Source organism: Homo sapiens, chromosome 2 (genome assembly GCF_000001405.40).
Source record: "Homo sapiens chromosome 2, GRCh38.p14 Primary Assembly".
In the NCBI taxonomy this organism is placed as follows: Eukaryota; Metazoa; Chordata; class Mammalia; order Primates; family Hominidae; genus Homo; species Homo sapiens.
Genome location: NC_000002.12, coordinates 47,248,715 through 47,265,994, shown reverse-complemented (window position 1 = coordinate 47,265,994; position 17,280 = coordinate 47,248,715). Strand labels below are relative to the sequence as shown.

General features: G+C 47.9%; 2 long non-coding RNA genes across 3 annotated transcripts in view, besides 3 other annotated features; both read left to right on the top strand.

Moving 5' to 3' along the window:
* Positions 1-17,280, top strand: part of EPCAM-DT (EPCAM divergent transcript) — a 152,670-nt gene that overhangs the window by 79,080 nt on the left and 56,310 nt on the right. The gene's annotated exons all lie outside the window — the stretch shown is intronic.
* Positions 537-13,622, top strand: LOC107985882 (uncharacterized). The gene is made up of 3 exons (XR_001739451.1): positions 537-862; positions 1,003-1,281; positions 13,110-13,622. It is a non-coding gene; the product is annotated as an uncharacterized LOC107985882 (long non-coding RNA).
* Positions 7,846-7,985: an enhancer, noted in NCBI's record as "active region_15727". NCBI's record gives its function as "activates an Ori minimal core promoter by ATAC-STARR-seq in GM12878 lymphoblastoid cells {active_cell/tissue: GM12878}" and the evidence as "EXISTENCE:reporter gene assay evidence [ECO:0000049][PMID:35858748]".
* Positions 11,236-11,385: an enhancer, noted in NCBI's record as "active region_15726". NCBI's record gives its function as "activates an Ori minimal core promoter by ATAC-STARR-seq in GM12878 lymphoblastoid cells {active_cell/tissue: GM12878}" and the evidence as "EXISTENCE:reporter gene assay evidence [ECO:0000049][PMID:35858748]".
* Positions 16,420-16,921: an enhancer, noted in NCBI's record as "H3K4me1 hESC enhancer chr2:47476213-47476714 (GRCh37/hg19 assembly coordinates)". NCBI's record gives its function as "activates a minimal SCP1, AML or CMV promoter by ChIP-STARR-seq in primed H9 embryonic stem cells {active_cell/tissue: H9 hESC(primed)}" and the evidence as "EXISTENCE:reporter gene assay evidence [ECO:0000049][PMID:30033119]".

Here is a 17,280-nt window from a genome sequence, read left to right as displayed (position 1 = left end):
GCTCTCTTTCTACCACTCAGCACGTTCTTGCCACAGACTCTCAATAAATGTTGATGCATAAATAATGAATGACAGATGAGATGGATGGATGGATGAGCCTGCAGGATATGACAGGCAGAAGGGAGGGAAGGGATTACAACAGATATGCCTCCAAGGTAGAAGACAGCTTGGGATCAGGGCAGGCTCAATCTCTGCATAGTGGAGTAGGTGGCTGCCTGTAGTGCAATTTCAGGGTCACTGGGAAGGCCCTCCTCCACCTCCACTCCAGTGCATGACAACCATTTTATAAAAGGAGATGAAGCCTTTTGTTCCCCAAAGTGTACAGAGCTCAGGCCTGAATCCCACACTCCTGGGGGTGCCAGAGGGGCTCAGGGGCTTACATTCATAGTGCTAAGGGGTAAATGACTCATAGAGGCTTCCCTAAGAGCAAAGTGTGATTAGGGGGAGGGGGCAGTGTGGAGGAGGAGGGGAGAGGGAACTGGGGAGCTAGGATGGAACCCACATGGGGGAAAGGACCCAGAAAAGGCCAACCTTGACCTGCAGCATTGTTTTGCCTCTGCTGCACACAGCCCATTTCTACTGGGAATTAACAACCTTTTTGGTAAACCTGGTTCTGCAAATATTTGACGTCTGGAAAACTTTCAACAAAGACGGCGTTCGGAAGCCTGGCTCGGAGGCCCCAGGATGACAACCTAATTACATTCCTTTTAATAGCTCCTTCCCAAGTGCTCAGTCAGGGACATCTGCTCTGCCGCGGTTGCACCTTCAGGGAGGAATATTTTTAACACCGTCATGCCACAAAAGGAAACTTCTGAAGGCTGGATGAAAATGGCCTCTGCGTTCCCAGAGCCTCAGGGCCCAGGTAGGGCCTCAACTTCTCCCCCACTCCTTTCAGTACCACCCCCCAAAACAGGGCCAGGCTCCTTTCACAAGCAGAGGAGGTGGCTGGCTTACTAGGAAGTGTCTTTTTTATAATCTTTTTTAAAAATCTTCCTTTTTCAGTTTTCACAGAGGTAAATTCAATGTGCCAGGCCATCTCAGCCTCGCCCAGCTTTCCGTGTTAGCAGGGTGTCTGAAATAACCGTCCAGAGCACAGCAGAGCCACTGGTGCCAGCCCTGCGCGCTCCCACTGGGCCCCATCAGTCAGGGTGCTTTCTGCTCCTGGCTGCTTCTACCTGTTTACTGGACTTACCTCCACACCCCAGCTGGGGGTCCCCCGCCCAGACCCTTGCTATGGCAGAAGCCCCTGGGATCAACAAGGAAAATGCAAGGAGCCGAGAGGTAATCTACTCCACATTCTCTCCCCGCTTTCTGCAGACAAGTTACCTGAGGCCCGGAAAGGCAGAGAGTGGCTCAAGGAGTTAGCATTAATGCCGGGTTCACTCCCCTATTTTCAGCCAAAGAATGTGTTTGGGTGAGAGCTGCTCTGTTCATAAGTTCATCAAAAACACATCGGCAGGCCCTTGATTGAAGAGTGACCTCTTTATCTAGCAGCCTATTCCCTTTGACAGAGGAAGACCTCTGGAGCAAGAGGGAGCACCTGACCGGCTCTGGCCCCAACACCCATGTGCCCATCAGAAAGGAGCTGCTGAGTGGCGAGGGGGCGCTGTGCCGTGTCTGCACTGATGTGATTTTTAAGGATGGATGCCTTTTTTCATGAGAGGCTCTAGCACATGACAAGGGCACCATGGAGACTTTGTACTTACGCTTCCTCAAAGTCCTTCCCGTACTTTCAGTGAAGACAAAGCAGCAGCATTTCCCTGCAAGTGCCTAGGAGCAAAGAGTGAAAGCTTTACTTTACCCAGTGGAGATCTTCATTTCTCAGCCCACAGTCTGCTGGCCATCGGCTGGGTGCTGTTCCTTTCACTGCACACATAGTCTTTGTTGCCTTTTCCCTTCAGCTCTGATTTTTTGGTTGTTTTGTGTGTGTGTGTGTGTGTGTGTGTGTGTGTGTGTGTGTGTGTGTGTGTGCTTTGTTTTTTGTTTTGAGACAGGATCTTGCTCTGTCACCCAGGCTGGAGTGCAGTGGCGTGATCTCTGCTCACTGCAACCTCCACCTCCTGGGCTCAAGCAATTCTCATGCCTCAGCCTCCTGAGTAGTTGATACTACAGGTGTGCACTACGAGGCCTGGCTAATTTTCGTGTTGTTAGTAGAGACGAGGTTTTTTGCCACGTTGGCCAGGCTGGTCTTGAACTCCTGGCCTCAAGCGATCTGCCCACCTCAGCCTCCCAAAGTGCTGGGATTGCAGGTGTGAGCCACCGCACCCGGCCCGGCTTCAGCTCTGATTTGACCATCATAGACGTCCCTGGTTCCCTCAACTCTGGACTTAAGCCTCCATGGCTAACCAGCTGTCCGTTCTTTAGGCCTTCCTTTATTCAAATTCTGGAGGAAGGAATCTGATGGACTCAGTTTGCCTCTGGCTCCGGAAGCCCTCCCTCTAGGGTGCCAGTGTCTGGATGCAGTGGTCTTCAGTCAGGTGGACCTTCAGGGCTAATCCTTATCCACTTTGCATGATGGCAGGCCTGTGCTGCTTCCCTGAAAGGACTCTTGGGCATGGTGGACAGTCCACTGCTTGGCCCGGGTAGTACACAGGGGTGCTGTAGCTTGCAGGAAAGACCAAGGAGGCAACATGGCTGGGCAAAGGTGGGGCAAGACCTCGGTGATGTGGTCCAGCAGGGACCGTTAAAATTGGAAGAACAATTAAGTGCTCAACAAGCATTATGATGGAGAATTCTCAGGGGTTTTGGGGGCAGGAGGGAAGTGCACTGTGCGTGCAGCAAGGCTGGTGCCTGTGGTGAACTTGACTTATTCACCACCTCCACCAAGGCCATGATACAAGAATCAAATGCTGCCACTGCTACTACTCCTAGCCAACACTTAGTGCATGCCAGATATGATTCTATGTGCCTTCCATTTATTAACTCATTTAATTCTTTCAATGCCCCCTGAAGTAACTGCCATTCTCATTTTACCTGTGAAAACATGGAGGCTCAGAGAGATTATGTAAAGAAAAGGTCACATAGCTAGTACGTGGAGGAGCTGAGATTCAAACCCAGGAAGCATGTGCTCTTTTTTGTTTTCTTTTTCTTTTTTTTTTTTTCCTGAGGCAGGGTCTCCCTCTGTTACCAAGGTTGGAGTGCAGTGACGTAATCATGGCTCACTGCAGTTTCGACCTCCTGGACTCAGGTGATCCTTCCACCTCAGCCTCCCGAGTAGCTGGGACTGCAGGCACACACCACCATGTCTGGCTAATTTTTAAATATTTTTTGTAGAGATGGAGTTTCACCATGTCACCCAGGCAGGTCTTGAACTGCTGGCCTCAAACGATCCACCTACCTTGGCCTCCCAAAGGGCTGGGATTACAGGCCTGAGCCACTGCACTTGGCCGGCTTGTGCTCTTAATTGCTTTGCTATACTACCCTGCTGATAGAAGCAGGCGGCCACCTCCACCAAGCTGTTTGAGGAATGACATGCAGTCCTAACTGCCTTAGAATTTCTCCCCTCAGCTCTGTCATGCTTGTCACCTTTCTTAGGGTTCAGAAATTTCTGCTCTCAGTCACTAGTATAGTGGAAGATAGGGTGACCTCTGGAGAGCCCTTTGCCCTCTCCCATTAGACTTTCAGTCCTAAGCTACTACAAAATGAGCAGGGTGCATGTACTCTTAGGAGGAAGGGAGTTTTCAAAGGCTGGGGGTTGAAGGCAGTAACAGGTAATCTGGAGCTAATCTTGTACCGAGGCAGAGAAAGAAGCCAATAATACTTAGCTTGATTTGAGAAGTCTCAGGGAAGAAACTCACCACCCCAATACCTATCATTCCACCATTGTAGTTTGAGAGCAGCGCTGACCCATATAATTTTCTGTGGTGATGAAAATGTTCCATATCTATACCGTCCAGTTCAGCAGCCACTAGCTGCATGTGGCTAGAGAGCACTTGAAATTTGGCTGGTGTAATTGAAGAACTAAACTTCAAATTTTAATGCATCCAATTTTTTTTATTTATTTATTTTTGAGACAGAGTTTCACTCCTGTCGCCCAGGCTGGAGTCCAGTGGCGCGATCTCGGCTCACTGCCACCTCCACCTCCCAGGTTCAAGTGATTCTCCTGCCTTAGCCTCCCGAGTAGCTGGGATTACAGGCATGCGCCACCACACGTGGCTAATTTTGTATTTTTAGTAGAGGCAGGGTTTCTCCATGTTCAAGCTGGTCTTGAACTCCCAACCTCAGGTGATCCACCTGCCTCGGCCTCCCAAAGTGCTGGGATTACATGTGTGAGCCACTGCGCCCAGCCTTATTTTATTTTATTTTTGAAATGGAGTTTCGCTCTGTCACCCAGGCTGGAGTGCAGTGGCGCGATTTCGGCTCACTGCAACTTCCACCTCCCAGGTTCAAGCGATTCTCCTGCCTCAGCCTCCCGAGTAGCTGGGATTACATGGATGCATCACCACACCCGGCTAAGCTTTTTGTATTTTTAGTAGAGACGAGGTTTCATCTGTGTTGGTCAGGCTGGTCTCAAACTCCTGACCTCAAATGATTCGCCCGCCTCAGCCTCCCAAAGTGCTGGTATTACAGGTGTGAGCCACTGTGCCTGGCCATGAATCCAATTTTAAATGAAAATTGCCATATATGGCTAGTGGCAGTTATAATGGACAAGGCAGTTCTTGAGGCCTCCTTTAGAATATACATCCCACTGGGAGGATCGTACCTTTAGCAGTTATCTGCCAAAACCTTAGTTCAGGTAGTGCAGGCTGGGGACAAAGCTGCCAGGCAGGTGCCTTTCATCTGGCCAGCATCAGTGCTGAGGATCTCTAAGTCTGAATGCCCTCGGGCAGGGGAGGTGCTGTCCAGTCTCCATACCCCCTTGTTTTACTCCAGAGCTGAGTCACAAATTTTGTCACCTCTGAAGGCAATCCCTTAGTAAAGCCCTTCAGTCATTCTCAACGGTGTTTCATTTACTCCTTACAGCAGCCCTGAGATGGAGATGGGATTAAAATTGTATCTATTTTATGGGTAAGAAAATGCAGGTTCGCAGAAGCCCTCAGGAAGCGCCGTTCTCCAAAGCCAGCCCTACCTTTCCTGTCTCGTTTGAATAGACATTAGAAGCCAAGGACTTGCATCTGGGGCCTCCTGTCTGCGGAGCCTTGTTTTGTCCCGGCCATCAGCTCCTGTTGCCTTCAGAGTGCCTTTTCCCCAGTGCTCCATTCTTGTTTTTATTCAACCATCATCTTGATTCTTTTTTGTTTTTGAGACACAGTCTCGCTCTGTCGCACAGGCTGGAGAGTGCAGTAGTGAGATCTCAGCTCACTACAACTTCCGCCTCCCGGGTTCAAGCAATTCTCCTGCCTCAGCCTCCCAAGTAGCTGAGATTACAAGAATGAGCCATGACACCCAGCTAATTTTTGTATTTTTAGTAGAGACAGGGTTTCACCATGTTGGCCAGGCTGGTCTCCAACTCCTGAGCTCAAGTGATCTGCCCACCTCAGCCTCCCAAAGTGCTAGGACAGGCATGAGCCATCGCGCCCGGCCTTGATTCACTTTTAATGCAACCCAGCTGCTGTCCCATGGCTTACTTCATACAGCACATACACTTGCCCATGCTCCTGCCTGCCTGCCTGCCTGCCTGCCTGCCTGCCTGGGCTTCCAGCCTTCTGTGGTGCTGCCAAAGTTGAACCATCAGCAGATTTAACTGGGTGAACTGGGAGGGAAGATAATCCTCCAACTCTACCACCAGCCCATGCCTGCACCCCAGCCTCCACTCCACATCAAACCTGATCCTACCTGCATCCCAGTTGTCCTTTGACTTTATGCTGCTTTTCTACCAGCTTCTGGAATTTAACACCTGCTTGACTCATGCCCCCTTCCTGCATGGCCACCTCTGCCCCATCAACCACCTGGCAGGACCCACACTCACCTTTCTTGTCTCTCTGACCATGGCAGTCCACACTGAACTCCGTCTGCCTCTCTGACTTCCCTATCACTTACTTCCCCCTTTTTTGACTTAATGTTTACACTACTTTTTGACAGAGTAGTTAAGGAAAGAGCCCTGCCTGCAATTAGGAGGTGCAGGTTGTGTGAACTTGGGTGAGTAATAATTTGGCCTACCGGATTCTCCATTTCCAAATTTTGGGGATTTTCAGGGATTGGACCAGATCCATAATTTTTCAAACCGGTTTTTTTCAGGAAGGTTCTTCAGAGGTTGTTTTGATGGGTAGAGAGTGGTGGGGAAGGGAGCCAAGTCAATAGGAGCTTTAGGTTTCCCCTATTCCTTTCCACTAGAGATCCCACTCTGAGTGGCAAATGGACTCGGCTTCTAAATGCTACTGAAAGAAGAAGGAGAGGAGAGAAAGGAAGAAAGTGATTGAAAGCCCCAGATTTCTGGGCCTGGTGGCTCATACCCACCTATTATCCCAGCACTTTGGGAAGCCAAAGCAGGAGGATTGCTTGAGCACAGGAGTTCAAGGCCAGCCTGGGCAACACAGAGAGACCCCATCTCTACAGAAAAATTAAAAATTAGCTGAGCATGGTGGCAAGAGCCTGTCATCCTAGCTACTCAGGAGGCTGAGTTGGAGGATTGCTTGAGGCTGTGGGGTCAAAGCTGTAGTGAGCAGTGATCGTGCCCCTGAATTTCAGTCTGCAGAACAAGACCTTGTCTCAAAAAAAAGAAAAAGAAAAAAGAAAACCCCAGATTATTCATAATTAGATGATCCAAAGAGACTCTTGCAGCTCTAATATGGCAGAGTCCAAGTCTTTCCCCCCGAGGTGAGTTATAGGCATCTTGAGGGCAGGACCCACACCTGAGACATGGTTGTGTGCAGACCTCACAATGGGAGCCCAATGCCTGTGGAATGAAGGAAGGAACAATGAACCCTCTCTTGTTCTCATCTGTGATGTTGCAGTGTATCTCCCCTCACCAGCCAGACTGACAGGCTTGGTTCTTGCCCTTTTTGTGGTTTCGCCAGAGCTCCTAGCACAGAGCCTGCAGTCTGTCCACAAACCCTTCTTTCTAATTAGATGACCTCGTCAGGTGGGGGTGAAGGAAGGACCTCTGGAAGACACAATCTGTGAACTATAAAGCAGTGACTTTAAAGTACAATAAAACAGGCTGGGCGTGGTGGCTCACGCCTGTAATCTCAGCACTTTGGGAGGCTGAGGTGGGCGGATCACCTGGGGTCGGGAGTTCGAGACCAGCCTGACCAACATAGAGAAACCCCATCTCTAGTAAAAATACAAAATTAGCTGGGCATGGTGGCACATGCCTGTAATCCCAGCTACTTGGGAGGCTGAGGCAGGAGAATCGCTTGAACCCGGGAGGCGGAGGTTGCGGTGAGCCAAGATCGTGCCATTGCACTCCAGCCTGGGCAACAAGAGTGAAACTCCATCTCAAAAAATAAATAAATAAATAAAATAAAGTACAGTAAAACAATGTCAAAGCCCTGGGTGTAAGTCCTGCCTCCTTTACCACTTTCACCATCTCCAGCAAGTGACTTAAGTCCCTCTGAACCTCAGGTTTCTCAGCTGGATAATAATGCTTATGGTTTGCTTAGTATTTTGAAGAGACACTTTCTATCTAGACCCCTAGGCTGGGTGGGTAGGGTCATAAGAAATTCCCCTCTCGCCCTGAAACATTGTGCTCTCCCTGATATGGGCAGCTGAGAGGTATATTAATTGCTTCTTCATAGTCTGCTAGGCCCAAGATGAAACCACAACTGAAAGATTCATGGTTGAGACGTGAGAAGCAATCACTTGCTAATAAAACCCACACAGTAAGATGAGCCTTATAAAAACCACCGCAGAGTGACAGTGGCCAGAAGAGCTGCTTGGGAAGGGAGGGGACAGGACAGGGTGTTTCACTGAGGGAAGCCATGGGCCAGCCTGCTGGGACCAGCTCACAGGACACAGAAGAAAGCCATGGGGTTGGTGTGGCCTCAGAGATGTCATTTCATCTGCCAGGACCTGTGTCTACAGACTGTGGCTGGTGGGCCAGGCACAGGGCCTTCCTGGGGGATAAAACAATGAGGTCAGAGGGATTCCCCCCAGCATCACACCTCTCCTTTCAGTGGCCTCTCCCCTCCTTCCCATCTTCTTCAGATGCCCAAAGCCTCTGGAACAAGAAACAAGGAGAATGTCAGGCACTAGCAAGGAGTTCATTGGAGCACTTCTCCCACCCACCCCCACGACCTCTCTCAGAGGGGGCTGCATCTCCAGGGAATCCTGGAGAACGTCAACAGAGTTTTGTGAAAATATAATTGATGGGATTTAAAAAAACCAGATTTTAATTAAAATGTAGATTTCTGGCTTCTTTTGGAAAATGGAAGAACCAAAAGGGCTTGTCTCACATTCTCACTGGGTATGAATTGGAGGAGCTCAGCAGCTGCTGCCCTCCATAAAGGAGGCATTTATTTTATTATTATTATTATTTTTTAAGATGGAGTCTCACTCTGTCACCCAGGCTAGAATGCAATGGCGCAATCTCAGCTCACTGCAACCTCTGCCTCCCAGGTTCAAGCGATTCTCCGCTTCAGCCTCCCGAGTAGTTGGGATTACAGGCGCACGCTACCAGGCCCAGCTAATTTTTGTATTTTTAGTAGAGATGGGGTTTCACCGTGTTGGCCAGGCTGGTCTCGAACTCCTGACCTCATGATCCACCCACCTTGGCCTCCCAAAGTGCTGGTATTACAGGCATGAGCCACTGCACCCCGCCCGAGGAAACATTTATTAATACTTCTCGGTTTGCTGCAGTTCCTGCCTCTCCCAATTGTTCCCTGTCATTATCTGGCCTCTTTCTTCCATTTGTGCCACTGCCTGGCTCCTGCAGCATCTGAGCTTGTGGCCTTAGACTTTATTCAAAGAAATTACTTAGTAGTAGGAGGAGCACAGAGATGCATGAATATTTCTGGGCAGAGGAATATCTCCTTGTTCCTAATACCATTCCATTCTGGAGGCCGTCCCTCCTAAAGAAGCGAATCCTACCACACAGCTTCACAGATTGAGGTGCCCAATAAACTGCCAAAGGATTAGGAAGAAAGTTTGCATCGATCGGCACAGCTCCCTGCCCCCACAGCCTGCCCCCTCCAGCACCAACAGCTGCCTATTTTGTTACCACCAGCGAGTTGAGGCTCTGATCCCTCATCTCTCTGTGACCCAGGCTGGAGTCAGCTTTGTGCCTGGACCAGCCTGACCTTGCAGTTTGTTTTGTTATCAGGGCCTTTTGCTTTGTACCTACAGACTGCCTTGTTTGGGGTAGCCCCTCGCCTGAATGCTTGCCTTGGTTTCCTACCAGCCCCTCAAAGCTCTAGGAACAAATTGAATTCTGCCCTGCCCCTCCCACACAAAGTCTGCAGCTGAGCCTCACCCCTGGAATGCCTGTTGCTTCTGCTAGACTCCTTAAGCTGCAGGGCTTCCTTGATCCACTTCTGCCTATCCTGGAGGCTGACCTGCTCTGATCCCCTAGGACCTAGTGACCCGCAGTATGCCTCACCTATTGCCTGCCTGGCCCTGTGCAGGATGATGCCAGCAGAAGCAAAACTTGTTTGGAGAGTAGGAGTTAGGTGGGATTTTGACCCCCACGTACTCCCTCGGCCAGGCATCTTTGTGCACAATGTATGATGACCCTGAGTATGTTCTCCTGGGCCCTGAGCACCGGGCATCCCTATGTGGCCTCATCCTCTCACTAACTCACCCTTAATTCTGATACTCACCTCCCAGTTTCCTATCATTTCCTCTTCTTCCTTGTCTGACTCCTAATCCTGGGGAAGCAAACGGTTAATATAAATAATAATAATAATATTGAGATTCTGTTTGAGGCAGTGTACCAAGCATGACACATACATTATTATATATATATATAAAATATACCATATCATACCATGTCATATATATCATATAATATATATGATACATTATATGTCATATATAATATATGATACATTATATGTCATATATATGATATATTATATGTCATATATAATATACGATATATTATATAATATATCCCATATATATTATCCCATATATATCCCATATATATAATATCCCATGTATAATATATGATATATTATATATCATGCATATAATATACAATATATTATATAATATACAATATATCATATATTATATAATATACGATATATCATATATATTATATAATATACGATATATTACATATAACATAATATACGATATATTACATATAATATAATATATGATATATTACATATAATATAATATACGATATATTACATATAATATAATATACGATATATTACATATAATATAATATACGATATATTACATATTATATAATATACGATATATTATATATATAAAATATATCGTATATTTTATAATATATATATATTTTTTGAGATGGAGTCTCGCTCTGTCTCCCAGGCTGGAGGCAACCTCTCCCTCCCAGGTTCAAGTGATTCTCCTCACTCAGCCTCCTGAGTAGCTGGGATTACAGGCATGCACCATTACGCCCGGCTAATTTTTGTATTTTTAGTAGAGATGGGGTTTCACCATGCCGGTCAGGCTAGTCCTGAACTCCTGACCTCATGATCAACCTGCCTCAGCCTCCCAAAGTGCTGGGATTACAGGTGTGAGCCACTGCACCTGGCCCATTATTATATTTAATTTTTGCAACAACCAAGCAAGATAGGATTGTCATCCCCATTTTCCAGATGAGGAAACTGAGGTACAGAGAGGTCAAGGAATTTTCCCAAGGTCCATCACTAATGAGTGACAAAACTAGGATTCAAACCCAGATCTGTCTGTTGCTAAACCTTAAAGTTTTAACCACTCAGCTCTGTCTTCCAAACCAAAGAAACTAGAAAGGAGGCTCAGAGAAGCCAGTAATTTGTCTAGGGTCACACAGCACATCAGTAACAGAGCTGGAATTCAAACCCAGGTGAGCTTCTGTCACCAAGTCCAAAGCTCTTTCATGTGCTGAGTATATTCTTGGGGCTCTTTGCCCCTTAGTTCCTGGCTGATGGGCACACAGGAGGTGTTTACTTGCAGACAGAAGGACTTGCCTCATTTTATTTGATATGCCTAGATTGAATCAGTTTCTTATAGACTCTCTCCTAATTGCTTTGATATCAGCCAGGATGCCCTTGTCCTTAGACAGGTTAGGTGTTAGCTCAACCCCCATTTTCCCAAACCTGAAGGGCCTGGATTTCCAGCATGGAATGCAGATTTCCTAGGGTAGGAGAGGATAATGAATAGGATTTGATGTCCTAACATCCTAGGATAAATGAGGTTTTCAGAAGGTTTTCTGACAAGAGGGGCTGGCTGCTGGGAGGGGAAAAGAGGAACTGAAGTGCTGGTGGAAGGTAGCTGGGGAGCAGGTGGCAGGCTGAATCTGCTGAGCAGGATGTGCAGACAAATTTTATGCAGTGTGGCCAGGCATGTTGGCTCACGCCTGTAATCCCAAAACTTTGGGGGCCGAGGTGGGTGGATCAACTGACGTCAGGAGTTCGAGACCAGCCTGGCCAACATGGCGAGATCCTGTCTCTACTAAAAATGCAAAAATTAGCTGGGCATGGTGGCATACACCTGTAATCCCAGCTACTTGAGAGGCTGAGGCAGGAGAATCGCTTGAACCCAGGAGGTAGAGGTTGCAGTGAGCTGAGATCGTGCCACTGCACTCCAGCCTAGGCAACAGAGCAAGACTCCGTCTCAAAAAAAAAAAAAAATTATGCAGTTTGATTTTCTGGAGATCAGAGCTTCTTGATCCTACTTCCTTGAGCTCTGTGTCTCTGCGTCTGACCTTGTCTCTTGGGCTCCAGAGGCCCCTGGCCCAGGCCCCTCTTCCTAGTTAGGGACACTAGCTCATATGCTCCTGGAGTAGAGCTGGGAATGGGAAAGCCCTGGGATAGGGCAAGCAGAAATGCCAATTCCACACAGCAGGGCTTTGCATCTGTCTCCTTCAAGTGGTCCTAGCCCTGGCCACAGCCCCTGGGAATGGTCCTGCCAAGCAGCTTGGCTTGCCAGCAGCTATAATAGACAATAAACTTTAAGAGCTGTGGATCCCCAGCCTACCTGGTAGAAATAGGTTTCTCAGAGTCCTGTGCCAAACTGAGTTCCTGGCAGGCTGCTGAGGATAAACGACTTTCCAGAACTTTCACCCAATCCACTTTAAATGAGCAAGGATTTACTTAGCCTCTCTTTAGTGCCAGTACTGTTTTTGGATACCAGGATAGGAGACTCCTTGCTGTCCTCCTATTCCAATCCTTTTTAATATCCTGATAGCAGCTGAATTTTCTCAAAGCCAGCAAGGTATTGTGCTTAGGGGCTTTGGAGTAAGATACGCTTGGGTTCAAATTCCTCTGCTGATGGCTAATTGCATCACACATCACTGAGCTACAGTTTCTTCATCTGTAAACCATCAACTTCACAGGGCTGAATATGAACATTAAATAAGACTGTGCGTGAGCGTAGACAGTTTAAGACCCTTCCAAGGTTCATCGCCTGGAAGGCTGTGATTGTCAATAGCAACGATCAAACCAATAAGCAAATAAAACCAGAAAGCCTTCTCTGTCCCCATCAGAACATCCCTTTGCTCAGGCATCTCCCATACTTCCCTACTACTCATGTGACAAAATCTTTCCTTTTTTACTTAGTATTCAAGGCCTTCCACATAAGGCCACATTTCAAGGGCTCAATAGCCACATATGACTTATGGTTACCATATTGCTTTTTTTTTTTTTTTTAGACAGACTCTCTCTCTATCTCCCAGGCTGGAGTGCAGTGGTGCAATCTTGGCTCACTGCAACCTCCATCTCCCGGGTTCAAGCGATTCTCCTGCATCAGCTTCCCAAGTAGCTGGGGTTACAGGCGCCCGCCACCACACCTAGCTAATTTTTAGTATTTTTAGTAGAGAAGGGGTTTCACCATGTTGGCCAGGCTGGTCTTGAACTGCTGACCTCAGGTGATCCACCCACCTCGGCCTCCCAAAGTGCTGGGATTACAGGCGTGAGCCACCATGCCCTGCCATGGTTACCATGTTGTACAGCACAGAGTAGCACATTCTCATCGTTGCGGAAAGTCTATTGGATAGCTCTGCTGTAGGTGATATTATAGCTCACTCACCTAAGCCCCTTTCTTTGGAGCAGGTTTCAATAGGAGTGTGGCATAAGGATGGTCAGCATGAGTGGGCACCATCAGGCCAAGGAAAGAAGTCAACAGCACTCAGGGAAATGAGGTCAGACCACAAGGGTAGCCATAAACCACTCCCCACCACCACCCTAACACCACCACCAGTAAGTAACCCTTTATTCCTTTTTCCCATTTTGGCCTTAGCTTCCCTAGGGGTGGCCCTGGAGGATAAGGAGAGTAGGCGCCAGTAGAATGTAAGAGCAGGCACTTGGACTTGGTGGGCCTCCTTCATTTACTGCCTGTGACCTTTCTGTCATCTGTTTAATTATACCTTTATCTCCAGTTGCTGAGACGAGTAAACACTTGACAGTTGGCCCCTGCCACACACCTAGGGAGAGTTTATCAAATGATGGACCCTTTCCCAGCTTTAAATAAGCCCCATATATAAAAACCTGTCTCTGTCAAAGGGGTGTGTATGTGTTTTAATACAGCAAAAAAGAAAAAAAAGAATAAAAAAGTTAGCAGACTTTCCTTACAAGAGCATGTTACCTTTATCTGTTTTTGTTTTTTTGTTTTGATTTGTTTTGTTTGAGAAGGAGTTTTGCTCTTTGTTGCCCAGGCTGGAGTACAGTGGCGCAACCTTGGCTCGCTGCAACTTCTACCTCCCAGGTTCAAGCGATTCTCCTGTCTCAGCCTCCCGAGTAGCTGGGATTACCAGTGCCCACGACCACACCTGGCTAATTTTTGTATTTTTAATAGAGACGGGGTTTCATCATGTTGGCCAGGCTGGTCTGGAACTCCTGATCTCTGGTGATCCGCCCGCCTCAGCTTCCCAAAGTGCTGGGATTACAGGCGTGAGCCACTGTGCCCGGCCGCATGTTACCTTTAAAAAGCATGCTGCTACCAGGCACAGCGGCTCATGTCTATAATTCCAACATTTTGGGAGGCTGAAGTGGGAGTATCACTTGAGCCCAGGAGTTCAAGACCAGCCTGGGTAAGATGGCAGGACTCTGCATCTATTAAAAAATTTTTTTTTAATTAAAAAAAAGCACACTCCTGTTTCACTCCCAAAAAGTTGAGGGAAGATGGATAAATGATTGATTATGAGTTCATAGTTTTTTTTTAAAAAAAGATGAGGTCTTGATATGTTACCCAGGCTGGACTTGAACTCCTGAGCTCAAGCAATCCTCCTGCCTCAGCATCCCAAGTAGCTGAGAGTAGAGGTGCACACCACTCCATCCAGCAATTAGATGAGAATTTTTGAAACTCGGCTATAGTAACATGAGGGTTCATCATTTTAGTCTCTCTGCATATGCTTGAACTTTTTCATAATTTCCTTGGAGCCCCTTTCCTTGGAGTCAGTTTCAATAGGAGTGTGGCATAAGGATGGTCCGCATGAGTGGGCACCACCAGGCCAAGGAAAGGAGTCAACAGCGCTCAGGGAAGTGAGGTCAGACCACAAGGGTAGCCACCAACAACCTCCCCCATCCTAATACCACCACCAGTAAAAGAAAAATATAAAGATGGATACAGTGGCTCACACCTGTACTCCCACCACTTTGGGAGGCTGAGGAGGGAGGATTGCTTGAGCCCAGGAATTTGGGATCAGCCTGGGCAACATAGTGAGACCCCCATTTCCACAAAAAATTAAAAAGTTAGCCGGGTGTGGTGGTGTCTGCCTGTTGTCCCAGCTACTCGGGGGGCTGAGGTGGGAGGATTGCTTGAGCCTGGGAGTTTGAGGCTGCAGTGAGTCATGATCGCACCACTGCACTCCAGCCTGGGTGACAGACCGAGATCCTATCTCAAAACAAAAACAACAAAAAAGAAAAAGCTAAAAAATCAAGCACATACTCCCACTAAGACCTAACGTACCCAAGCAGACCACTGGCTTCCAGACTTCTAAGGATGTCTCTTTCTGTAGTATGAAGGGCACCTGTTCCTGATGACGGGTCGGGGGGCAGTGAGTGTGGGGAGGGGCAGCGGGTGACTGTTCACTCTGGATGTTTCCATCCTGGTATCTGTTTATTTTGCAGGGAACTTGAGCCTGTGGCCTCTCAGGTGTCATGTCTGATTCCTGACAAAGGAATCTGAGGCTGAGCCCTGGTGTCCAGGTGTCCTGGCTCCCAGCCAGGTTTTCCAGTCACTTCTAGGTCTCAACCCCAGCTGGGCTGGGCTGAGAGGCTTGATGTCCTGGGGTGAAGAGCCATCGGTCCCTCCTGGCTCTCCATCCTATACCTGCTCAGCCTGCAACTTCCTTTCTCCCGGCTGGAGCTGCCCCGTTCCCATCCTCCTGCAGCCTGCTAGTACCTCACCTCTGAGGGCCACTTCACATCTCTAGGCCTTACTTTCTTTTTGAAGAGACAGGGTCTCACTATGTTTTCCAGCCTGGTCTCGAACACTTGGCCTCAAGCAATCCTTCTGCCTCAGCCTCCCAAAGTGTTGGGATTACAGATGTGAACCACCATACCCACCTATCCTAGGTCTTTCTTCTCAACACCAGGAAGCATCTGGACACTCCTTGGGGAAATCACTCCTCTGGGGCCCTTTGCTGCACCCTATTTTGCCCTAATGGTTTCAAGGGCCAGTCTGGTCTCTCTGGCTATTATACCAGTCCCAGAGAGCCAAAACTCTATTTATCTCCTTGTTTATTTCCCACAGCACCTAGCATACGGCTGAGTACACGCTGAAGGTAAACGAATGAATGAATGAACCAATGAATGAGTGAATGAATGAATGAATACGTCTGACACACAGTGAGCCCCATTTTTTTCTACCTACCACCATGCACAATCACCAGGGGCTCTGAGCCAATGTCAGGATTGTGAGGGATGGTCTCTCATCTGAATTTAACTAGGCCAGTGACTCCAAGCATCAGTCAGCCACAGCGACGCTGTCATTCTGTCTGTCTGTCCATGCTAGGGGAATGGTGGGAGACTATATGTGAATGCTTTCACTGAGAAGGGTAGTGGGTACTCACATCTCTAGAGAGTGATATTGAAAGAGAACTGGAAGAAAAAGAGACAGGAAAGTGGGGGTGGAGTAGAAATAAGAGACGTCGGGGTGGGGAGGCACAGGGAAGAGGACAGGAGTGAGGGAGAAAGGGACACAAAGAGAGAGCGATTCTTGCCTTGCACATCTCCAGTCCTCTGATGTGGCTGTGCCGATATCCCCTGCACTAATTGCTTCAATTAATAATACAGCTCTATAAAATTTCAGCAGCTGAGAACAAGTGCAAGGAAAGATGACATAATGCATTAATAACGCAGGCAGGCGATCGGGTTGGGCTCCTGGGGAGCTCCATTAAGGAGCGGCTGCTGCAGTCCTAACACCAGCTAACACTCCAGCAGGGCAGTATGTGTGTCCTTGGGCCTCTGCAGACCACGGACTGTGGAGCTGCGGGGGCAGAGGTGGCACCAATGGGCAGGAGGCTGGGGAAGGCTTTAACCTTCTCATAAACTCCAGAAAGCACTCCTTCCATTCTTTGATCTGGACAATTGATGTTTTCTCAATCTTACGTAAGTGCTGTGCAGTTTCAAGATTGCTGCTCTACATCCCTTTGACTGCTCCTTCCCAGATGCAGCTCACATTAGCGGACCTTCTGGCTAGTCTCTCTGATTGTTGTTGCTATTGTTGTTTTTAAAGATCTCGAATCCATTCTTTCTCTCTATATCTACATCTCCCTCTTTCTGTCTCTTTGTCCTTGGATTCTTAAGAGCTTTTAAGGAGGCAATCCTCTCTTTCAGGACAAAGATTCTGTATCTAAAACATGCTGAGCTGGTTTCTCTCAAGTCAGCATCACCCTCACCAAAAGGCCCCCTTAAATGTCTGCACATGCACACAGTCCATCTCCAAACAGTACGTAGGCCTGGGGCTGAGTGTGAGTCTGGAGCAAGGGGTCAGCAGCAGGCATCCCCGATCCTGAAGCTGGAAACCACTAAGTGATTTTGTACTCATGCAAAGCCAGTTCCTTTCCCATTTCCTGCAGAAACTAGGGCTGGATCATTCCAAACAAATCCCTTAATTCAGGGCTTCTCATTCCGCAGTCTAACGAGATGCTTCAGAGTGTTCCAGAAACCCTAGAAATGACATACGACAATCTTTGTACATATGTGCATTTCTCTGACAAGAGGGTCCACAACATCTTCTGATCTCTAATGAGTCTGCGATGGCCCCAGGGATGCGGAAGTA